The 20818-nt window shown below is 43.0% G+C and overlaps 1 protein-coding gene across 22 annotated transcripts in view, besides 1 other annotated feature; it reads left to right on the top strand.

The window, feature by feature from the left end:
- LDB2 (LIM domain binding 2) overlaps nucleotides 1–20818 on the top strand; it is a 397105-nt gene that overhangs the window by 107493 nt on the left and 268794 nt on the right. Inside the window, exons 1-2 of one of the 22 annotated variants that reach the window (XM_017008818.2) lie at nucleotides 12230–12694; nucleotides 17539–17776. The exons of 20 other annotated variants lie outside the window; for them this stretch is intronic. In XM_017008818.2, coding sequence (XP_016864307.1) covers nucleotides 17774–17776 — 3 coding nt within the window. In that variant the 5' untranslated portion in view covers nucleotides 12230–12694; nucleotides 17539–17773. Of the gene's footprint in view, nucleotides 1–12229; nucleotides 12695–17538; nucleotides 17777–20818 lie in introns of those variants that run through there. One more of the 22 variants, XM_047416391.1, reaches the window with a different exon arrangement.
- Nucleotides 14883–15450: an enhancer, noted in NCBI's record as "OCT4-NANOG hESC enhancer chr4:16777326-16777893 (GRCh37/hg19 assembly coordinates)". NCBI's record gives its function as "activates a minimal SCP1, AML or CMV promoter by ChIP-STARR-seq in primed H9 embryonic stem cells {active_cell/tissue: H9 hESC(primed)}" and the evidence as "EXISTENCE:reporter gene assay evidence [ECO:0000049][PMID:30033119]".

The raw sequence follows: 20818 nt of genomic DNA, 5'->3' as shown, positions 1-20818 counted from the left end.
TTTGTCATGGAAATCCTAAAATGCTCTTAGCTGTTGCAGGAGTGTGAGATGTTGGCTTGGGCATCAGTAGAGAAAGCTAACCTGGTAGTTGATAATGACAAGTAGTTATGTAAGTAGATTTTCTGAGCCAGGCAGTTGGGCTTTTCTAGAAAATAGAAGTTGCTGAGCAAAAAGGGTGTGAAGAAAGGGCCTGGTGTGCCTGTATGTATAGCTCTCATCCACACAGCCTAAGTCCTGGATTGCCTACTGAAGTCTCTACTCAGGATACCACAATTTAACAGTTTCACACATTGCTTTGGGTTTTAGGCAATTTTTTTTTCTTTCTGGTTCATACCTGAAAGTAACTTTTTGCAAGAGCATTAAACTTAACTCTGGGTTACCTGGAAGAAGAACTGGAAATCTCAGATGACTCACATTTCCTGTGCTGTAACTCCAGGATTTTCAAACATCTGACACTTTCATCCCGGTTATCGAGGAAATAATATGTTAGCTCCGTCAGACTGCTTTGAATGGTCATGCATTGCTTAACGACAAGGATACGTTCTGAAAAACGCATCCTTAGGTGATCTTGTTGTTATGCAAACGTCATGGAGTGTACGTACACAAACCTAGGTGGTATGTACATTTTTATTTATATATTTTTTTCCTATGGAAAACCAAATGTTCCAGCACTATTACTGAATATCAATCATTTCCTCTACTCATGCTGCATTGCTGATATCTAGTGCCATGTATCAGGTTTCTATATTTGCTTCAATAGAACCTTATAGGACCACTGTCACATAGGCAGTCTGTTGTTGACTGAAATGTCCTTATATGGTGCATGACCGTATTATGTTCTGGGGTAGAAACAAAACTTTGAGGGCATGCAGACCTGAGTTTGAATCCTGCCTTCCTGCCTTAAGAGTTTTGCCATGCTGGCTAAACTCATCAGCCTCTTGGAGTCTCGATTTGTAAAATGCAACTAGTAAATGCTGTCAGGAAAGACTTCCTTCCTATAAGCACTCAGTGTCTGGTATTTAGTGGGTGCTTTAATCACTGGCTACTGTTATTCATTGTAGACCTTTCAAAAGGGTATACAGGGACAACATGGCATTAAAAGTCACCTACTGTGTGTCCTTGAGCAGATAACTAAAACTCTCTGAGCCTTGACTTTCTTGTCTATAGAATGGGGATAACCACACCCATCTCATAGGGTTTTTGTTTGTTTGTTTTTGTTTTGAGGTGGAGTCTTGCTGTGTCACCCAGGCTAGAGTGCAGTGGCGCTATCTCTGCTACGTGCAACCTCCACCTCCCAGGTTCAAGTGATTCTCCTGCCTCAGCCTCTCGAGTAGCTGGGACTACAGGCGTATGCCATCACACCCAGCTAATTTTTTGTATTTTTTAGTACAGATGGGGTTTCACCATATTGGCCAGGATGGTCTCAAACTCCTGACCTTAAGTGATCTGCTCGCCTTGGCCTCCGAAAGTGCTGGGATTACAGGCATGAGCCACTGCACCTGGCCATATAGGGTTTTAAGAAAGATTAAATGAAATATTCGGTGAGTGTCTGGAACATAGTAAGCAGTGAGTAAATGGACAAATGGTAGTTGTGTTATTTTCATTATTGTTGTTTGCAGCTACAACTGCCAATGAAAAACTAAATCACAAACTTCCTCTAGATGGTCCCGTTCACTTTACTCGTTACATTGGTTTCAGAGCATCCAAAGTTTGAGCTTCTTTCTTTGTTTCTTCTCTCACTCTCCTTCTAGAATGTAGGTTCATGAGGTCAGGGAACCTTGTTTGTCTGGTTCACTGCATTTTCCTCCATCTCCTAGTTCAACATCTGACTCATCGTAGGCCTTTGATAAATATTTGTCATGGAAATGAATGAATGAGTAGACACTTTAGGCAGAACCCCATTTTCTCTCTCCCACTTGGGTCCGTGGATCACTGTGGAGTAGCTCTCCAGCATCTGCCTGGTGTCTGATGGCTCTGCCATATGCATCATCCTTCCAGTAGATTCTCTCCACCTCCTGGCATCTTCTCAGGCCACCTCTTTCCGCTGCCTGCTCCCCCTCCCCCAACCAGTGTGTGCTCAGGGAATGCAAACTAATTTAACCAAAGCCAAACATAATTAGGAGAGTAAATCTGCTGCTACTGCTGCTGCTAGAGCAGCAGAAAAAAAAACCCCATAGCATGCATTCCAAAATGAAATCCGGTCTGGGGGCTTTGGGGAGCCCCTACTGTAAGTGTAATGGCCCTGCTGCAGTGGGCTGCTGGCTTCCCCAGTAGGCTGGACAGGAAGGAGTTAATTGCACAGTAGTACCCTTTTGCTTCCAGGAGTATAAGGAGGCAGGGTAACACCCATCTTATAAAGTTGCCTGTTCTTGGGGCTCACTATTAATGTCATTCGACGCAAGGCAGTTCCAAAACCAAACTCACTTCTTTCCTACCTTCCTTCTTGTCTTCATTCATTCATTGGTTAGTTTGTTTTTTCATCTACCAGTGCTCACCCTTCTGCTATCATGCTGGGTACTGTGCTGAGTATTAGAATCACTGCAGAGGGCAGAAGCTGGTCCAGGGCATCCCCATAGGGGTTGGGATGGCTTGGGGCCCACACCTTTTAGAAGACCAGTCTGGGATCTAAAGTGTCTCTCAGTTTCTCTTGGTTTCGCTCAGACACTTGAATGGATTCTACCCCATTACTCTCCCAGGAACAGGAGGGATTAGCATTTGAAGAATCAGCATAGCAAGTATTTTCTTTTCACTTCAATTTTATGTTGCCAAGGGTTGCTTGAGGTGGGGAAGCTTGATGCAGATGACACAGGGCATCCCCTTCCCATCACCACCCCCAAAGTCCCTCTTGAGCCACCCCTTGGCATCCGGCACTGGCAGTGAGCAAAGCATACCTTGCCCTGTGGAGAGCGGAGGCTCCTGTTAATAGAATGGTCTGGAGCTTCTTAGCTACTCTTGCCGTAGGTGAAAGGCTATTGAGAAAGCTCTTGGGATTTTCTTAAAGCCAGATATCTTGATCGCCAACTCGCAGCCCAATGCCCAGCCCTCAGCACTATACAGGGAATGCCCATCTGGCAGAGAGGGGGGGGAGGATCGACTTCTGCAGCCAGGAAGAAAGAGAGTGGCCAGGCACATGCACCCCAAGCTTGGTTTCATTTATTCCTATAGGAAGAAAGAGAGTGGTCAGGCACATGTACCCCAAACTTGGTTTCATTTATTCTTAAGTAGTGGGAAGCAAATCTGAATTTGGGTCCTGACTTCCCTTTCTAGTAACAATATTTACAATATTTTGAGTGTCTGCAGTGTCCATGTGCTTTGTTAAACTCACTAGCTATGAAATCCTGCCAAATCCTTAGGGCAGTCCTACAAGACACTAAAAAGTGTTCCCACTTTCTGAGTAACAAAATCAATAGGAAGTGCACCATATGCCTTCTAAGTGGTAGAACTGGGGTTTGAAGGAAGTTTTGCCCCCTAATATGCTGTTGTAACACCCTATGTTTTGCTTATAGTTCATCTTGTTGCACCCCCACTCTTTTTTTTCTGAGATGGAGTTTCACTCAGTCACCCAGACTGGAGTGCAGTGGCGTGATCACAGCTCACTGCAACCGTAGCCTCCTGGGTTCAAGTGATTCTCTTGCCTCAGCCTCCCGAGTAGCTGGGATTACAGGCGCATGCCACCACGCCTGGCGAATTTTTTGTATTTTTAGTAGAGATGAAGTTTCACCATGTTGACCAGGCTGGTCTCGAACTCCTGACCTCGGGTGATATGCCCACCTTGGCCTCCCAAAATGCTGGGATTACAGGAGTGAGCCACCGTGCCCAGTGAATTGCACCCTATTTTTGTTACCTATTTATTATTGGCATTCCTCCATAGGCTGTAGACTTTTTGAGGCAGGATTGCATCTTGATGGTTCTCTATAGATCCTCAACTGGTAGCATAATCTTTGACACAGCATAGCTGTTCAATACGTGTTTATTGAGTGGAAAAGGGAACACCTAAATAAATGCCTCTTCAGCACCTGCTACTTTTTCCCTCTTTTGCAGCCAAAAAAACAAAACAAAACAAAAAAACCTCTCAAACTATTTTAGAGGGAAGCTTTTTATTTCCATTTTGTGACTGACTTTATTTAGATATCAACAATAGGTTCCCCCTTCCAGCACCCTAAAACTTCAGGGGAGATGGAAATCATCTCACAGATGGGATAGGGACCCTGAGGAGGCCAGAAGAAAGGTGTACTGTGTCTAACTCCACCGGTGGTAGGGTTCACAAAAGATTCGGGAATAGAGTGTGCAGGGCTTAGGGCCTGGTTTGGTGAGGGAAGAGAGACAGGTGCCTCTGGTTTCTGACAAGGCATATGTATTTTTCCCCAAACAATAATGTTTAGGCATTTGAAGAGCTCTCAGTTGTTCTAAGTCTCTTATATTGACACTGAGAGGTTGGCAAAAGAGAAAACAATAAGGGGACCCTGGTAGCCCAATCCCACTCCCTTTCCTAGCCCCTAATGTCTGTGCCAACTATGTGACTCTTAGAATATACTCTTGCTAGTTTCTCTGTTTGAATATGTGTTTATGTGTGTGTATCCATTCAGATACAGGAAAACTGAAAAACTATGCAGGGTAGGACCAGTTTGCATTCCCAGGCTCCAGTTTCTCAGTACACAAGAGAGTCACAGTTAGTAAAGATGTACTGGGAGATCCCAAAGTGCCAGGCAGAGTTCTAGGCACAGGGCTGCAGCAGTGAGCACAACAGCTGAAATCTTCTGCTTCCTTGAGTTCACATTCTAGTTGAAATGAGACAGACAATAAACAAATAAACAGACAGCAGATGCTCAAAAGTTTTGTGGTTGATAACGATGCCGACTACAGCATTTGCCAGCTCTGCTAATGAGTCTCCCTGGAAACTTGAGTGGTTGATAAGAGGATTAAGAACCTAGAAAAGTCTTACTGGTAGATCGGCTGACTTATGAGTTACAGAGCCTGTGGATCATGGTGGATATAGGATTCTGTCAGTTACATTCTGGCTGAGAAGAAATTCAATTAAAATATATATGTTTAAACTTTCTTCTTAAGGTATTTGTTCCAGAAATCAGAGCTCCCTTTTAGTGGTTGTTAATATCAGGAAATGAATATCTGATTACATTTTTCTAAGGCGAGTCCCTTAGCAGCAGGCAGAGTCTCATCTCATCGTATCTTCTGCATAATTCATTTTGGGGAGAGTCTCTTGAGTTTTGCTTTCAAAACTTAAGGAGGAAAATGAAGCTGGTTTGAGGGTCATAAGAGTTTTTAACCTTTCTGGATAAGCAAAAATACCTAATGTGATTCCAGGAACGGACCCTGAAATGTGAATTTCTTGAGAAGTGGTAGAGAAGATAAGCCTTCTAAGTAGGAAGGCTAGGTGATTCTCTGATTGGTGTGGATGTGGGTCGAGGGGAGCAGGCAGACTTAGGAGTGTGAGCCTGCCAGCCAGCCAGCAAATATGTTGTCCATGCCACCCTGTCTATCTGCCATGCATTTCTCAGGAACCACTTCTCATGCTTGACTAGAGCTTATTATCACAGAAACATTACAGAACATTGTTTTCTCTGCTTTCACCCGATGCGGCTGCTGCCCGGCCATTGCAGCCACGGTAGGCGATGCTGCCACATTACATTTTGGCCTGTTTACGGAGTCGGAATGGGCACTTGCAACTGCTCATTACAGTGATGCATCCGTCCTCACCATGAAGCCTTGTGTTTCTCAGCAGAGCATGACCACGTCTCCCAGGGAATATGGCCCTTTCCTCCTTTGTTCTAGACTGGCCTGAAGTTGAACTTGGACCCAGGAAGTGATTGAGAAAAGGCTGGCATTGGTTGGTGCCTGCTTCAGTCTCTGCTAGGATGCAATTGTGGCCTGGGGTGTTCCAAACTGTTGGATGGAGGCATGTTTATCATGCTGACAGACATTTTCTTTGTGTCACGTTTAGTTCTTTGGGTCACCGAGAGAATTTCCCAGAGGATTTCTTCCAGGCTTTTAAGAAAAAGGATTTATTTTTACAAAATTGGGATTATTAAATATACGTACATACACACATACCTATATAAATAACTTGATATTATTTTTCTTTCGTTTACTATTATAAGCATGCCATTAATAACAATGAAAAAAAAACTGTTCTTCAATTATAGAGCAACACCCACTCATTGTAATAATCTAGGTGCTGTGGGAGAATGGAGGGTATTTAAGGGTGGCAGAGCAAAGGGGTGTCGACAGTCTACACCCAGGGAGCAGAGCACCAGTGAGCTAGGAAACGATTGTTTTCTGACATTATGGTTATTTTTAGGGAGAATAAAACCAGATGCAGAGTGCATAGGGTATATAATGGAGAGAGGATAGAGTTGTTGGGAGGCGGAAGAAGGAGAGAGTGGTGGGCTACCATGGCAGGCTAGGATTAGACCCCAGAAAGGCCTGAATGGAATGCTGAGGAATTTGAACTTTCTTCTCCAGATAAAGGATTCCACTCTAGACTTTGATGACTTGATAAAGTGAGCAGAGGTAGACTTAAGGAAATTCACAGCATTCTTGGTTCACACAGCTTTGGCCACCTCTGCCTCTGAAGCTATTTCTAGGTCCTGAACCATTGCTCTTTATGGAGGGGAAGAGGAAAAATATCTGAGGTTCTTCACAAGAGACTCTCATGCTTGGGACCAGCCTCTGAGCCCCTGGGAAGAGATGGTGTTTCCTATTGCCTGCTAAGGAAATGTGCACATTCTTATTTAATTTTTATACTAAATTTTCAAGGTGGAATTACCAGCCCCAGTCTACAGATGAGGAAACAGAGGTGTAGAGGTTCCTACTACAGAAGCAGAATGAGGTGCAGAGAGTGGCTTTGGACTTCCAGGAGCTTGGTTGGCCTTGTAGCTCTGACAAGCTCCGCATGGATGTCCTTGGACAAGTCAGTTCACCTCTCTGAAGAGGAGAATTTGTTTCCTATGTGGATCACTTTTGCCTATGTGCCCCAGGGTGCCATGAGGCTTACATGAGATGAAACGCTGATTATTTTAAAAATTCTTTAAAAATTCTTTTTAAAATCACACAAAAAGTTAGCAAGCAAAGGGAACCACTGGCAGCAGGGTCAATGCACTATGCAAAACAGATACTAATTCTGTATAATCTGATTCTTGTCCAGTCATCTTAAATGAAGGCTAAAAGTGATTCTTCAGTAATAAAGGGAATTACAATTCCTACATGATTGTAGAAGCTTGGAGAGCAATTCTAGCACAAAGCAAGCAATTATACATTGCAACAAAATAAAAACTTTTTTAAAAAGGCAAAAGGGGGGAAAAGGAAACCAAAAACCACTCAAATCCCTTTAGAAACACTATTTAATAATGCAAACTCTCTTTTCCATAGAATTCCAATCAAGGGGCACTTTGGCCATGAGGAAGCAATTAGGAACATCTATGATTTAATGAAAATGTAAAAAACCAAGGGCAAAGAAAACAACCATGTAACAAGAGTCTACTTCTCATATCCCTGCCACCAAACTGCAGGACACAGTACAGCTGCAAGGCTTATACCACTGATGGCTAATATCAGCCAGAGACATGATCTCCATAAGCCAGCTCTGCCTTGTCTTTTTGCTAGAATGCAAAGAAAATGATGCTTTAAACAAAGCAAGAGCCAGGCATGAATGGCACCAAGTGAGGACAACCTCCGTGGGTGGCCATTCAGGCCTTCTGTGATTTAATGAGGAGAAAATGCAAGGTCTGGCTTTGCTCTCTTGGGCCTTGGTGAGAACATGCATCCTTCCTTATGCAGGATTTGGCCATCCATGGGGCTCCCCCTTCCTGACCATAAACATCTACTGTAATTTTAATTGTAAACAACGTTCCTTGCAACAGTAAAGTATAAATCACTCTTCTATGACTTGGAGCTCTTCCGGCCTCAGACAATGAAGCAGGGTCAATCTGTCCTGCTGACATCATCCCATACCCCTAGGCCCCTGCTTCTCGTTCATAAGCCTTCTTTCTGTTTTCTAAGCACTTTGTACTAACTTATGCTTCGGGTCTTGGCACTAGCTGTCCTGCTGCCTGTACGCCTCAAATTCTTCACATCTTTGAAGACATGAGTCTTATTATTTGGGTCTCAGCTCAAATGTCATCTCCTGGAGAGAGAGAGGTCTTTCCCAGCACCATTTAACTAAAGTAAATCCAGTTACTCTAAGTATTATTCTATTTTATTTTTTTTCAAGTACTTCTCATTGTCTAAAGTTATCTACACCAATAATACACCCACATGTTTGTCTACTGGACTTATCTGCCCCCTTCCTCTACTCCCCCTCTAGATAACAAGGTTCAAGAAAACAGAATTTTGTCTTCTTATTTATCACTGTGTTCCCATCTCCTAGCACAGTTCCTAGCATAGAGTAGGCACTTAATAATATCAGTAGAATGAATAAATAAAATGCTAACTTGCTTGGGGTTTGTGAGTCTTTGGAAAGACTGTGTTGGTCAAGAAGTATTTATTTTGCTGGGCGTGGTGGCTCACGCCTGTAATGCCAACACTTTGGGAGGCCGAGGCAGGAGGATCACAAGGTCAGGAGATTGAGACAATCGTGGCTAATATGGTGAAACCCCGTCTCTACTAAAAATACAAAAACTTAGCTGGGTGTGGTGGCACACACCTGTAATACCAGCTACCTGGGAGGCTGAGGCAGGAGAATCACCTGAACCTGGGAGGTGGAGGTTTTAGTGAACCAAGATCGTGCCACTGCACTCCAGCCTGGGAGACAGAGCAAGACTCCGTCTCAAAAAAAAAAAAAAAAGTATTTATTTTATTCATTCCTTCTTTCAACATTTGTTGAGCGCCAAGTATATTCCAGGAGCTGGAGAAAGAGCAGTGAATTAGATCTGATTTCTGCCCACAAGGAATTCAGAGTGGAGATGGAGAGAAAGAGAAGGAAGCAGCATTGCGGCCTGATGTGAGATGAGCACGTCATGGTACGAAGGCTTAGCCAGCGCTTGACATGGTAATGATACCTGGCCTGCGGTTTGGAATAGTATGGAATTCAGTGGTCCTCACAGTTAAGTAAGTGGGCAAATTGTTTCCTAGGCTGCCCTAACAAGTCACCACACACTGGTGGCTTGAAAATAACAGAAATTCACTCTCTCGCAGTTCTGGAGTCTAGAAATCAGCAGCCTTGGTTCCTTCTGAGAACTTTGAGGAAGAATCTGTCCCATGTGTTTCTCATGGATTTTGGTGGCACCCCTTGGCTTGTAGATGTGACACTCCAACCTTTACCTCCATCTTTACATGGTGGGCTTGGGGGTCTCTCTCTGCTTCTTATTTTAAGGACACCAGTCATTGAATTAGGAACCACCCTTATCTTAACCTATTAATCTGCAAGGACCCTATTTTCAAATTAGGTCACATTCCGAGATTCCAGGCAGACATGAATTATAGGGGAGGGGGCAGGTGACACCATTCAATCGAGCACAGTTGGCTACACCTTACTCTTATTCTGAAAAAGATACTTAACTTTGATGAGCATCAGTGTTCTGAGGGATTTAGTATGACTCTCCACTGAGCATTTGGGTGCATCAGAGTATGAGGAGTGACCCACATAATTCTCCCCATGATCTACTCCATCTACTTGGGGAAGAGGAGCAAAGTAGGTTAGTGGCTGGCTGGTAATCCTCCTCACTGTTCGTGCCTTCTGTCCTCCAGACTCCCTCAGCTGAGGGCTCGTACTCATCTGCTCTGACTTTATTTTCTAACTCAAAGTCTGATCTGTGTCCCACCAAAGCATATGCCCAGTTAAGTGCTCCTCCTTGGAGTTACTCTGTGAAGACTCATTCTCAAGTACAACAGAGCAGCTAAAGAAACTGCCGCGCATGACAGCTGCCTTCACTTCTGTGTGGCCCTTAAGATCCTAGCCCCACATCCTTTGCTGCCCACTCTTATGCCTCAGCCTGGCTTCTGATCTGTGGCATCCCTATTCTGTTTCATTCTTCTGAGGCTTCCCTCCAAATCACAGTTGGGCCACAGTCTTAGCTCTTCTTAGTAATGGGAACCAAAGTCCCTGAAGTCAAAATAGAGGACCAGAACCATGGAAAGAGTCAATTAATCTATTTAAAAGAGAGGTGCTTAGCCACCTCCAGGCAACCCTAAACCCCAGAGATGCCCAGAAGGATTCAAAACATGGGGTTCAGTGGAAAGATGACAAACATGAGAATCCAACAGCCCGGAGTCCAAGTCTAAGCCCTAAACTTTATTAGACATCTCACTGTGGATAAATTGCTTAACCTTCCAAGAAGCTATTGCCTCACTGACATCAATTCTTACCATTTAGTTAATGTACTCATTAAATTTTAAAAAGTAATAAAGCATTTAGCCCAATTTGAGACACGTGGAATGTGTGTTCATGAAATGTTTTTTGAGTTGTACAAAAAAAAAAAAAATTGAAATACCCAACACAGAGCGAATAAACTTGTAAAATTGAGAGAAAATACTGGATTGGGATCTGGAGAGAAAGGCTGTCATTTCCACTGATACACAAATACAGCGTCTCCTTGGCTTGCATTCTTCAAGTAACCTTAATGTTACCTCCTCTGGTGGCCTTGTGGAGCCACCTATATCTAACAGGAATCATCTTGGCCAGGTGCGGTGGATCACACCTGAAATCCCATCACTTTGGGAGGCTGAGGCAGCCGGATCACTTGAGGTCAGGAGTTCAAGACCAGTCTGGCCAACATGGTGAAACTCCATCAGTACCAAAAATACAAAAATTAGCTGGGTGTGGTGGCAGGCGCCTATAATCTCAGCTACTGGGGAGGCTAAGGCCAGAGAATTGCTTGAACCTGGGAGGCGGAGGTTGCAGTGAGCTGAGATCACACCACTGCATTCCAGCCTGGGCGACAGAGTGAGACTCCATCTCAAAAAAATAATAAAATAAAAAAAATTAGAAATCATCTCACTTCTGTGTAGTCTCAGTCCATTTTCCTCATACCAATTCTTACTAGTAATAATTTTTTTGGTTTTATTCACTTGTGTGTTTATTGTTTGTCACCTGCTCTAAATTTTGAGCTGCATAAGGTTTTTTTCTAAACTCTATTCCCAGCATGTGTGACAGGGAAGTCTACTTGATGAAAGTTGTTAAATGAGTGAACAAGTAAGTAAATAAACCCAGTTAGAGCAAATAGAGATGCTGCCATATTTTCACATTTTAACAGTTTCAAAAAAACAAATACAGAAAAGAAAGAAGATCTTGCATTTTGGAGAAGAAAATGAAAAAAGTCAAAAATAATTTCAAATTATATTTCTACTTGCAATTATAATAGCAAGTTAAGAATGATGAGACCTTGCATGTCATCTCCAGTGGGCACCCAGCTGATGCCTGGAACACTTGGACAGCAGCACTGCATTCAGTCAACTGAACTGACCATGGGGAAGGGGAAAACTAACTTGCCCTATTCATCCATTTCCTTTGACTACTCAGCATTAGGGCTGGTTTACCACTTGACAGCCCTAAACGTTAGTCTCTTTTAAAAAATGTCCTTCAAATATATGAGGACGCAGCCATGTCTCCTATGGCCCTTCATTTTCTCCAGGTTACTCACCTCGTGTCTTCCCACTCCTTCCCAAGAGGCAGAGTTGTATGTTTCAGGTCTTCTCATTGGCCAAGGTGGCAGGTGGGGCTAACAGCAGAGCCACTTAACTTGCCACCTAGTCTCGTTCTGAAGTGAATACCAAGTGTGAATGGAAAAGATCTGCAGGCAGACCCAGGCCATGCATGCTTCGAAAGCGCACTTAGTTTCTCATAAAGCCATAAAAGGTTTTAGATGACATTTTGCTTCAAAAAAGACAGATTCTTAAATGAGGGCAATTTCAAGGAGATCAGACATCCTGTGGTGCACTTAGCGGGGGAAAGCAAATTGCATAAACATTGCTCATCTGAGCAGCGGTGAGGCGTCCTGCCAGTGGTGGTGGCACAAGTTCAAATCCCAGGCTCCCAAAGCCAAGTTCTGCGGAGGCTCCCCTCCAGCTCAGTGCCCCCAACAGCTTTATGGCCAGGCTAAGTCATTCATTCCCCCATGTTTCCTAGAACAAAAGAACACAAGAGAGAAGTAAAGTGAGGTTTGTGAAAACAATGCATTTGTCTCGAAATTGTCCTTTTCTAAGTTATAGGGAGACAATGAGATAGGAATGAAAGAACATTGGCCTGGGAATCAGATGTTCTTGGTCTAATATTAGAACTGGAAGGGCCCTTAAACCAGAGCTAGTTCAGTTCTCTAACTTTACATCCAAGGATATTGAAACTTAGGTTAACTTTGTTATATATTTGTCTATGTGATCTTGAGCAAGTTGCTAAGCTTTTCTAGCCTCAGTTCCCAATCTGTAAAATGGAGATGATGACAACATTATCTACCCTTAAATAATTGTGATGATTAAACCATATGGGATAATGCATGTCATGTGCCTGAGAGAGAGAAAACACTTCAAAATGGCGAGCTAATATTGTTTTTCTATCAACAGGTAGTAATTGGGCTTCTGCTGTGTATCAAACTCTGCTCCAAATAATGAGGATACAACAAGAAATGAACACTGACCTTGTCTTCTTGAAGGCTGAGGGGGAAGACAGACATAAAAACACAAACTCACAAACACTCTTGATGGTGGTTGTGATAAGCGGAGAGATGGTGGCAGTGGTAGTGGGGAGGTAAGGTGAGGACAAGGTAGGGCGGGCAGGGAGCCTCTGCAGGTGTTGACTAGTAGAAATGAACCAGACTGGGAATTATGCAGAAAGTTTTATATAGAGAGGAGTTTCGTAGACATGATATAGCTCATGAGGAAGCAGCATATTTGTCTTGCATGCGTGTGTGCGTATGATTGTGTGTGTGTGTTGCATGAGGAGTGGTTTGATGGTCCTCAAAGGGAACAGTTGATTGTTCTTGGAGACATTCCCAAGACAAGTCTGAGAGCTAACATTCAGATGTCAGACCTTAAAGCATTCATGCATGGAGAAGGCCTCTTTGCCGTCAGTTTTCAGATCAAATATGTGTGCCCAATAAGGACTACTGATGGAGAATATAAAGTTGAGGTATGCTGAGAGCTGGCAACCAGGTAGTGTCATAGAAGTAGAAACGCAGGGCTCTGGGAGCAGCGGTGTGAACTGTCCTGAGGTGGAGAGGGATGGGGGAGGAAGGCAGGGCAGGGACAAGATTGAAAAGGAAAGCTACACCAGCAATAAATCCCAGTCAGGCGTTGGTAAGCTTCCAAGAGAAAGAAAAGAAAGTGATAGCTAATATTTGTTTATTAAGAGTGCTATGAATCAAGACTAACAGAGTTACTGATCATGCTCTGTGTCACAGCCCTGTTCTAAGCACTCTGCACATATGATCTCATTTGATCTTGACAATAAACCCAGGCAGATGTGATTGCTGTCCCCATTTTACAGATGGGGAAACCGAGGCCAGAAGAGAGAAGGAATTTACTCAAAGTCACACAGGTATTAAGGAGTGGAGATTACTTGGTCTCATCACAGGAGGGACCTAGAACTCTAAATTGATCATGACACATGCCTGCTTAAAGCCTTTCTATGATATCCCATTGCTTGTAGGAAAAGAACCCACATCTTGTTTGGCTTTGCAAGGTCCTGCATGGGGGTTCAAGCCCTGGCGCTTCCCCAGCTTCATCTTCAGCCTCCCACCGCCAGCTTCCAATGCCTGGATGAGCATCTTCCTTTCAGTCCCTTAAAGGCATCACAGTTCTTCAATCTCAGGGCTGTTGTACTTGCTGTTTCCTCATGTCGGCTGACCAAATCCTCTCATGCCTCGGCTCTCGGTTGAAATGTTGCACTAACAGGAAACCATTTCTCACCTCCCAGACCATGAGGGTGCCCATCCTCTCCCCTAACACCGTATGCTCCACCCTCACGTCATTCATCCCAGGTGTAATTTGATCATCGTCGAGAGGATATTTGATGTCAGTTGCCTGTGGGAGGGGGCTAGGCTATTCCTGTTCACCCTCTACTTCCAGTGCCTGCACAGAATCCTTCTAAATCCCTGTCTGGCTCCCTCCCTCCCATTCTTCAGGATTTTATTCTAAATGAGTGGTGCTCAAACTGGGACAATTTTGTCCGCCTGACCCAAGGACATCTGGCAATGTCTGGAGACATTTTTGGTTGTCACAACTGAAGGGGGTGTTATTGGCCTCTAGTGGGCAGAGGGCAGAGATGCTGCTGAACACCCTAGAAGGCACAGGACACCCCGCAGTGAAGACCTGGATAGCTCTAAATGTTTGCGATGCTGAGGTTGAGAAGCCCAGCTCTAAAGAGACGTTCCCTGCAGGGCCTTCTGTGGTTATCCCATGTAAATTTTACTTCTCCTTCCCCACTCCCGTATTTCATGTCCTCATTTTCTGCTTTACTGCTTTTCTGCTGTACACTTAATGCTATCTAATAAATGACATATTTCATTCATCTTTTTCATTATTTGTCATCCGCTAGTATACAGGGTCTTCAAGGACGTGGATTTGTGTCTTTTTTGTTCACTACATCATCACTAAATCCTAGAAGAGTGTCTCGCGCAAAGTAGGCGCTCACTGCATATTTCTGAATGCACGAATGAATTCAGAGTCCTAGGTAACTACCCCCATTCCATCAAAGAGGCCCCTTGGGGTTGAAATCCATTTGCCATCCCTATGGAGACTGTCCTTGGACTTTGGAAGAGATGGAATTTAGAGATTTCTTCTTTTATATCCTTTGGTTGTGATGTTGTCTCCACTTTAGCCATCACTAAGATCCCCCAAAAATGTTTTCACTGAAGGCAAGAGTGGGGAAAGTGGGCAGGTTCTCTCAGTAAACAACAAATTCCTAAAGCAGTGAGTGTTCTGGTAGGACCTCTTTGGAAGGACCCTTGGAATTGTCCTTATATTTGACAGATGGGGAAACCAAGGTCCAAGCACACCCTGTAAGGACATTTTGAACACTGACGATTTTTTGATTTGGACTTACTTAAGGTCACCCATCAAAGAAGTATCAGGAACAGAATCAGAACCCAGTTTCCTGACTCCCAGGGAGATGGAAGGGGGAAAGCGAAAAGTTCTGCTGATCTAAATATGGATGCTGGCAGGCAAGCCACAATTTTCTAAAGCTCTCTTTTCTCTTGCAAGTTGTGATCTCTAGTTGACAAGGAAGCAAATTGAATAGCTAAATGGAGAGCTTTCTGAGATGCTGAGATGCAAATTAGCCTGAACAATGTGCAACTGTGGATTTGAGGTTGGTGTGCAAAATAGAGGCTTCGCTTCAGTCAGTCTGCTTGAAAAACTCACTCTGATAGGTCCTTGCTCTTTTGCAGCCAGACACTATGCCAGGCACTAGGGGTACAGGAAAAATTAAACACCGATCCTGCCCTTGAGGAGTTTGCAGTCTCATTTCTCATGAGGGAGACAGACAGTGGAGGGCATGCTGTTTTTAATCCAACAAAGAGGCACTGATACTGTGAGTGTCCGTGCTTTGTCAACTGTGTGTCAGGACCCGGCTAATTGGATCATGCATTTCCTGAGAATAGGGAAACCCATCTTGAATGTCACTGACAACCATAGTAATAATGATGGATAACAATTGTTGATGCTTACTGCATTCCAGGCACTGTTCTAAGCACTTTAATTTATCAGTTAATTTAATTCTCATAGTAGCACTATGAGGTAGCTACACTTATTATTACCATTTTTTACAGTGAAGGCAGATGAGACTGAGTAACTTTTCCAAAGCAACAGAGCAAAGAATAATGTCATTGATGTCTAGACCCAGGTCCTCTGGCAGCAAGGTGTGTAGGCTGTATTTGTAAGATGCATTATGGATATATATTATTTAATATCCACAGCAACTCTGGCTTTGGGACCGTCTCTGCCACTTAATAACTGTGTCCTTTGTTGGGCATTTACTCTGTTCCAGTCACTGGTCCATGTATTATATAGCTTAATCCTCACAATTAAGAGTGAGGTATAATGATATCCATTTTATAAATAATGAAACAGAGGGACAAAGAGCTTTGGTAATTTGTCTGAGATCACACAGGTAATAAAAGCCAGGATTCTGGACATTTTGTGTAAATGAAATCACCCAATATATGGCCTTTTGTGTCTGGCTTCTCTCATTGCCATAGTGTTTTGAGGCACATGTTATACACAGCATGCATCTGAATTTTCTTTCGTTTATTACTTCTAGTGTACCATTGTCTGAAGATACCACATTTTGTTTATCTGTTCATTAGTTGATAGACATTTGGAGTGTTTCCATTTCTTGGCTGTAGTGAACAATGAAGCTATGAGCATTTATGCATGCATGTATGTAACCTTTTATTACTAGGTATTTTCCCACAGTCCCCTGTCTCTTGCTCACACACACACATGCACACACAAACACAAAGAGGAGTTCAAAGGGAAGAGTTCTGAGGCCAGATTATATGACTTTGATCACTGACTCCAAACTGTACCAGCTGTGTGACTCTGAGAAAATTAAGTAACCTTTCTGAGCTTTGGTTTTCTTCACCTGTAAAATAAGGATAATAATTCACCTCTCTGATAGTGTCTTTCAAAGGCTTGACTTAGATAATGCACGTTGTTTGGCTCATAATTACACAATCAGTAAGTGCCAGGTAAGCAACAAGAATACAGAAAACAACCCAAAGAAGATGGTGACTCCATCCATGCAGTGCACAGTCTAATTGCTGGGACATAAAAGGATAAGAACTGGGCATAATGTAAAATAAAATAAAAACATAATATTACAGGAATAGTCACCATGAGGTTCCCATTAATTTTTTAAAAAAACGCATATCTCAGTCTAGAAAATAAAGACTTTTCTGCAGGTTGGAAGGTGTGAGAGGCGTTAGGATCAAGGCAGGACAGGATGGAAGCCTTGAGGAATGAACAAGGGATGGTTGAGAAAGTGTGGGAGAATGCGTGGAATGAGGGCATTGCATCGGACTAGTTACCCTTTTTTTTTTTTTTTTTTTTTTTTGAGACGGAGTCTCACTCTGTTGCCAGGCTGGAGTGCAATGGCGTGATCTTGGCTCACTGCAACCTCTGCCTCCCTGGTTCAAGCAATTCTCCTGCCTCAGCCCCCCGAGTAGCTGGGATTATAGGCATGCGCCAGCACGCCCAGCTATTTTTTTTGTATTTTTAGTAGAGATGGGGTTTCACCGTGTTGGCCAGGATGGTCTTGAACTCCTGACCTCGTGATCCACCTTTCTTGGCCTCCCAAAGTGCTGGGATTACAGGCATGATCCACCGTGCCTGGCCTGACTAGTTACTCTTGAGGCTGAGATGGGAGAATCCCTCGCGTCCAGGAGTTCGAGGCTGTAGAGAGCTATGACCACACCACTGCACTCTAGCCTGGGTGACAGAGTAAGACCCTGTCTCTCTAAAAAAAGAAAGGAATATGAAAAAAGAAATATTGCAACTGTAGAAATGGAGGGGAGTACGGGTTCCTAACAGGAACTGGTCTGTGCATCAGGAGGTGTGACAGGTCAGTGAATGAAGCTTCATCTGTATTTACAGCCGCTCCCCCATCACTCACATTACTGCCTGAGCTGCACCTCCTGTCAGATCACTGGTGGCATTAGATTCCCATAGGAGCACAAACCCTATTGTGAACTGTGCATGCGAGGGATCGAGGTTGCACGCTTCTCATGAGAATCTAATGCCTGATGATCCGTCGCTGTCTCCCATCATATGCCAATGGGATTGTCTAATTGCAGGAAAACAAGCTCAGGGCTCCCACTGATTCTACATTATGGTGAGTTGTATAATTATTTAATTATATATTAGAATGTAATAATAGTAGAAATAAAGTGCACAGTGAATGTAATGCACTTGAATCATCCTGAAACCGTCCCCCAGAGTGTCCGTGAAAAACCTGTCTTCCACGAAACCAGTCCCTGGTGCCAAAAAGGTTGGGGACTGACGGCTTATAGCATTTTCTCCTCTTCAGACGTCATAAAGACAGATATCCTCCTACCTTTTCTTCTGGTAGGTTTTGGCTTTCTTTATTTACATGTTTACTTCCTCCAGAACTTACGTTTGGTTATGTGAGCTATAACCTAATTTATTTATTATTTGCGGGTGAAAAGCCAATTGTCTCCACACTCCTCATCAAATAATTCTTCTCAACCTCACTACCCGGCAATGCCGTATCTACCAGATACTTATTTTCCACACAGGCTTCTGTCTGTGTCTTGGTTCTCCATTCTGTCCCACTGTTCTGTTTGTCTGCCTATTTCCTTCACTTTATATTATCATGTAAGAATGTGCTTGTGTTATTTTAAACCATGTGTGAACATTATATTTTAAAGATTTCTGTTTTCTTTCCGGTGGACATATCAGTTTCTTGAATCATTTCTCTATTGTAGGGCAAACACATTGTTCCTAGTTTTTTGTGTGTGTGTTTTTTTCTATTATGAGTGCTCCTATGGTGAGCAATTTTTCGTATAAAGCATTTACATATTTTTGGATTATGTCCTTTGGATGGAGTCCCAGAAATAGAATTACTGAGTCAAAGGGCATGAATATTTCTTAATGCTTTTAATTCACAGCATATATTTATTTAAAACATTAAAGTGAATAAAGATTCTGGAAAGTTCCTGGTACTCTATGATGTGGTTGTAATCAGCTGGGCTGTGCCAGCTCTGAACCTTGGTATGGCTGCCCTGTGGGAGTTCAAGAGGGAGATTAATGTGTCTCCTTGATAGATTTATCTTTTGTCTTTGGTAGTTTGTCTAACACATTTTTTGTATTCATTTATTCAGGCAGTCATTTTTAACCACCTATTATATGCCAGGCTTCAGAGCAAAGCAGGCAATAGGATCTTATATTCCCAATGAACACAATTTTTTGTATGTAAGAAGACAAACAAACAAAATTGAATGATCAAGGAAAAATATAGACTGATGTGATAGCAAGTAGGCTTCTGTAGATTGGATGACCCAAAGATGACAAGGATGCTGAGATTTGAATGAGGAGAAAGAGAAAACCACACCAAAGAGAGGAAAGGCATCCACTGGTGGTGGACGCAGCTGGTTCAAAGGGCCCTGTGGTGTAGTGGAGTGCAGCCCTGGGCCCGAAGGAAGGTCCCCAAGGTAAGAACCTAGATCTGCGGGCTGTGCTGAGAGTGCAGTGAACCAACAGCAAAGAAGAAGAGAAAGTCCCATCCACACAGGAGAGTGAGCTCCCTACACAGCAATGACGAACCATAGAAAAGTTTTAGCTGGGAGGGTCACAATCTAATGGGTATTGTTAAAAGATCCTCCAGGCTTCTTTGCAGAGCACAGGTTACAGGGGAACAGGAGTGGGGGCTGAGAGATGAGTTAGGAAAAAGTCATTGTTGTCCAGGCTGAAGTTACTGGAGGCACAGAGAAGGGGTGGCAGTGGAAGGAAAGAAACATGGGTGGATTTCCATTCATGTGTTGGAGGTAAGTTCATGGGATTTGCTGACAGATTGGAGGTGTGGAGTTAGGGTAAGACAGGAATCAAGAGTATGTTCTCAAATGCTGGCCTAAGTGACTGAGAAACTGGAATTATATTATGGAGATGGAAGAGAATGAGAAGAATTGGCTTGTAGGGGATGGAGTTGGGGGAGATATCTGGCTTTGGCCATGTTAAGCCTGAGATGCCTCTTTGGTTAAGAAGTGGAGAGGTGAGTGAGGCAGTTAGAGTCACAATTCTGAAGTCCCAGGGAGAAGTTTGGAGCTGTAATATGTACTTGGGTGTCACTGACAGAGAGAATTCAAGTCCCCTGGTAAACAGATTTGTAAACAGAGAAGAGAATAGAAATGATTGACCATCATCAAGAAAAACATTATTTTTTTCTAGGTTTCAAGAATATTCTGGGTTTCTTATATTTGTCTTTGTGAACAAAAATTTTTTTTTCATTTTTTCCAAGTAGGAAGAGAGAAAATCTTGAGTTTTCTTATCTAGTGGTTTCCTGTGGCCTTGGTCCTGGCACAGTCCTCCAATGTTTAGTGGTGACTTGAAGAATTATTCTTGTCATTTGATCAACTATTCAAATGCAATAGGGTGGGTCACAGAAACAAGATTTTGAATCTTGCAAGCTTTTCCAGAAACATTCCCTTGTCTGCTGTGTTTATGTTGGAATGGAAAATTTGTGCCTGATTTTACAGTGAACTTTTCTCAAGATATACGACTTGCTGCCTCATGACATTATCCTGCATCTCGGGACCTCTCACACCTAGATGGTGTGATGTAATACGATGCGCGGTGCTCACTGCCACAGAGCTGTCATGAACAAAACCTGTGCTTCTAGAGTAATGCCTTTCCACGTCATTTTCAAAGTGGCTTTGCATAGGGTTCCCAGTATATTCTTTTTGATTGTGAGAGTACATGTCTCCATGTTTGAGTATAAAATAGGAAATTTAGTTATTAAAAAACAACCAATCCTCTTTCATACTAGAATAGTATAGAGTAGAGATTGCAACAGGCAGCGAGTAAAGCTTTGTGGATGGAAATAAAAATTTATGAGTCAGAGAGGATGCAAATTCCAATGTTGCCGCTTATTTGATTTGTAACCTTGGGTACATTTCTTAACCGCTTGGGGCCTCAGTTTCCCCACTGACATTGGGATAAGAAAATTACCAACTTGATAGAGAGCCTGTGAGGACTAGAAAATACTACATTTTGAAACTCTGTGCATTTTCACTGATTCAGTCATCAAAGAATCAAAGCCCCTGTTTCACAAACATGTAAATAGAGCAGAGAGTGGCAGTGTTCAATTATCATAAAATTAAAAGTGCTGGTTTTCTTCTGGGTTTTGAGAATATGCTGG

This window comes from Homo sapiens, chromosome 4 (genome assembly GCF_000001405.40).
Source record: "Homo sapiens chromosome 4, GRCh38.p14 Primary Assembly".
In the NCBI taxonomy this organism is placed as follows: domain Eukaryota; kingdom Metazoa; phylum Chordata; class Mammalia; order Primates; family Hominidae; genus Homo; species Homo sapiens.
This window is presented reverse-complemented; position numbering and strand designations above follow the sequence as displayed.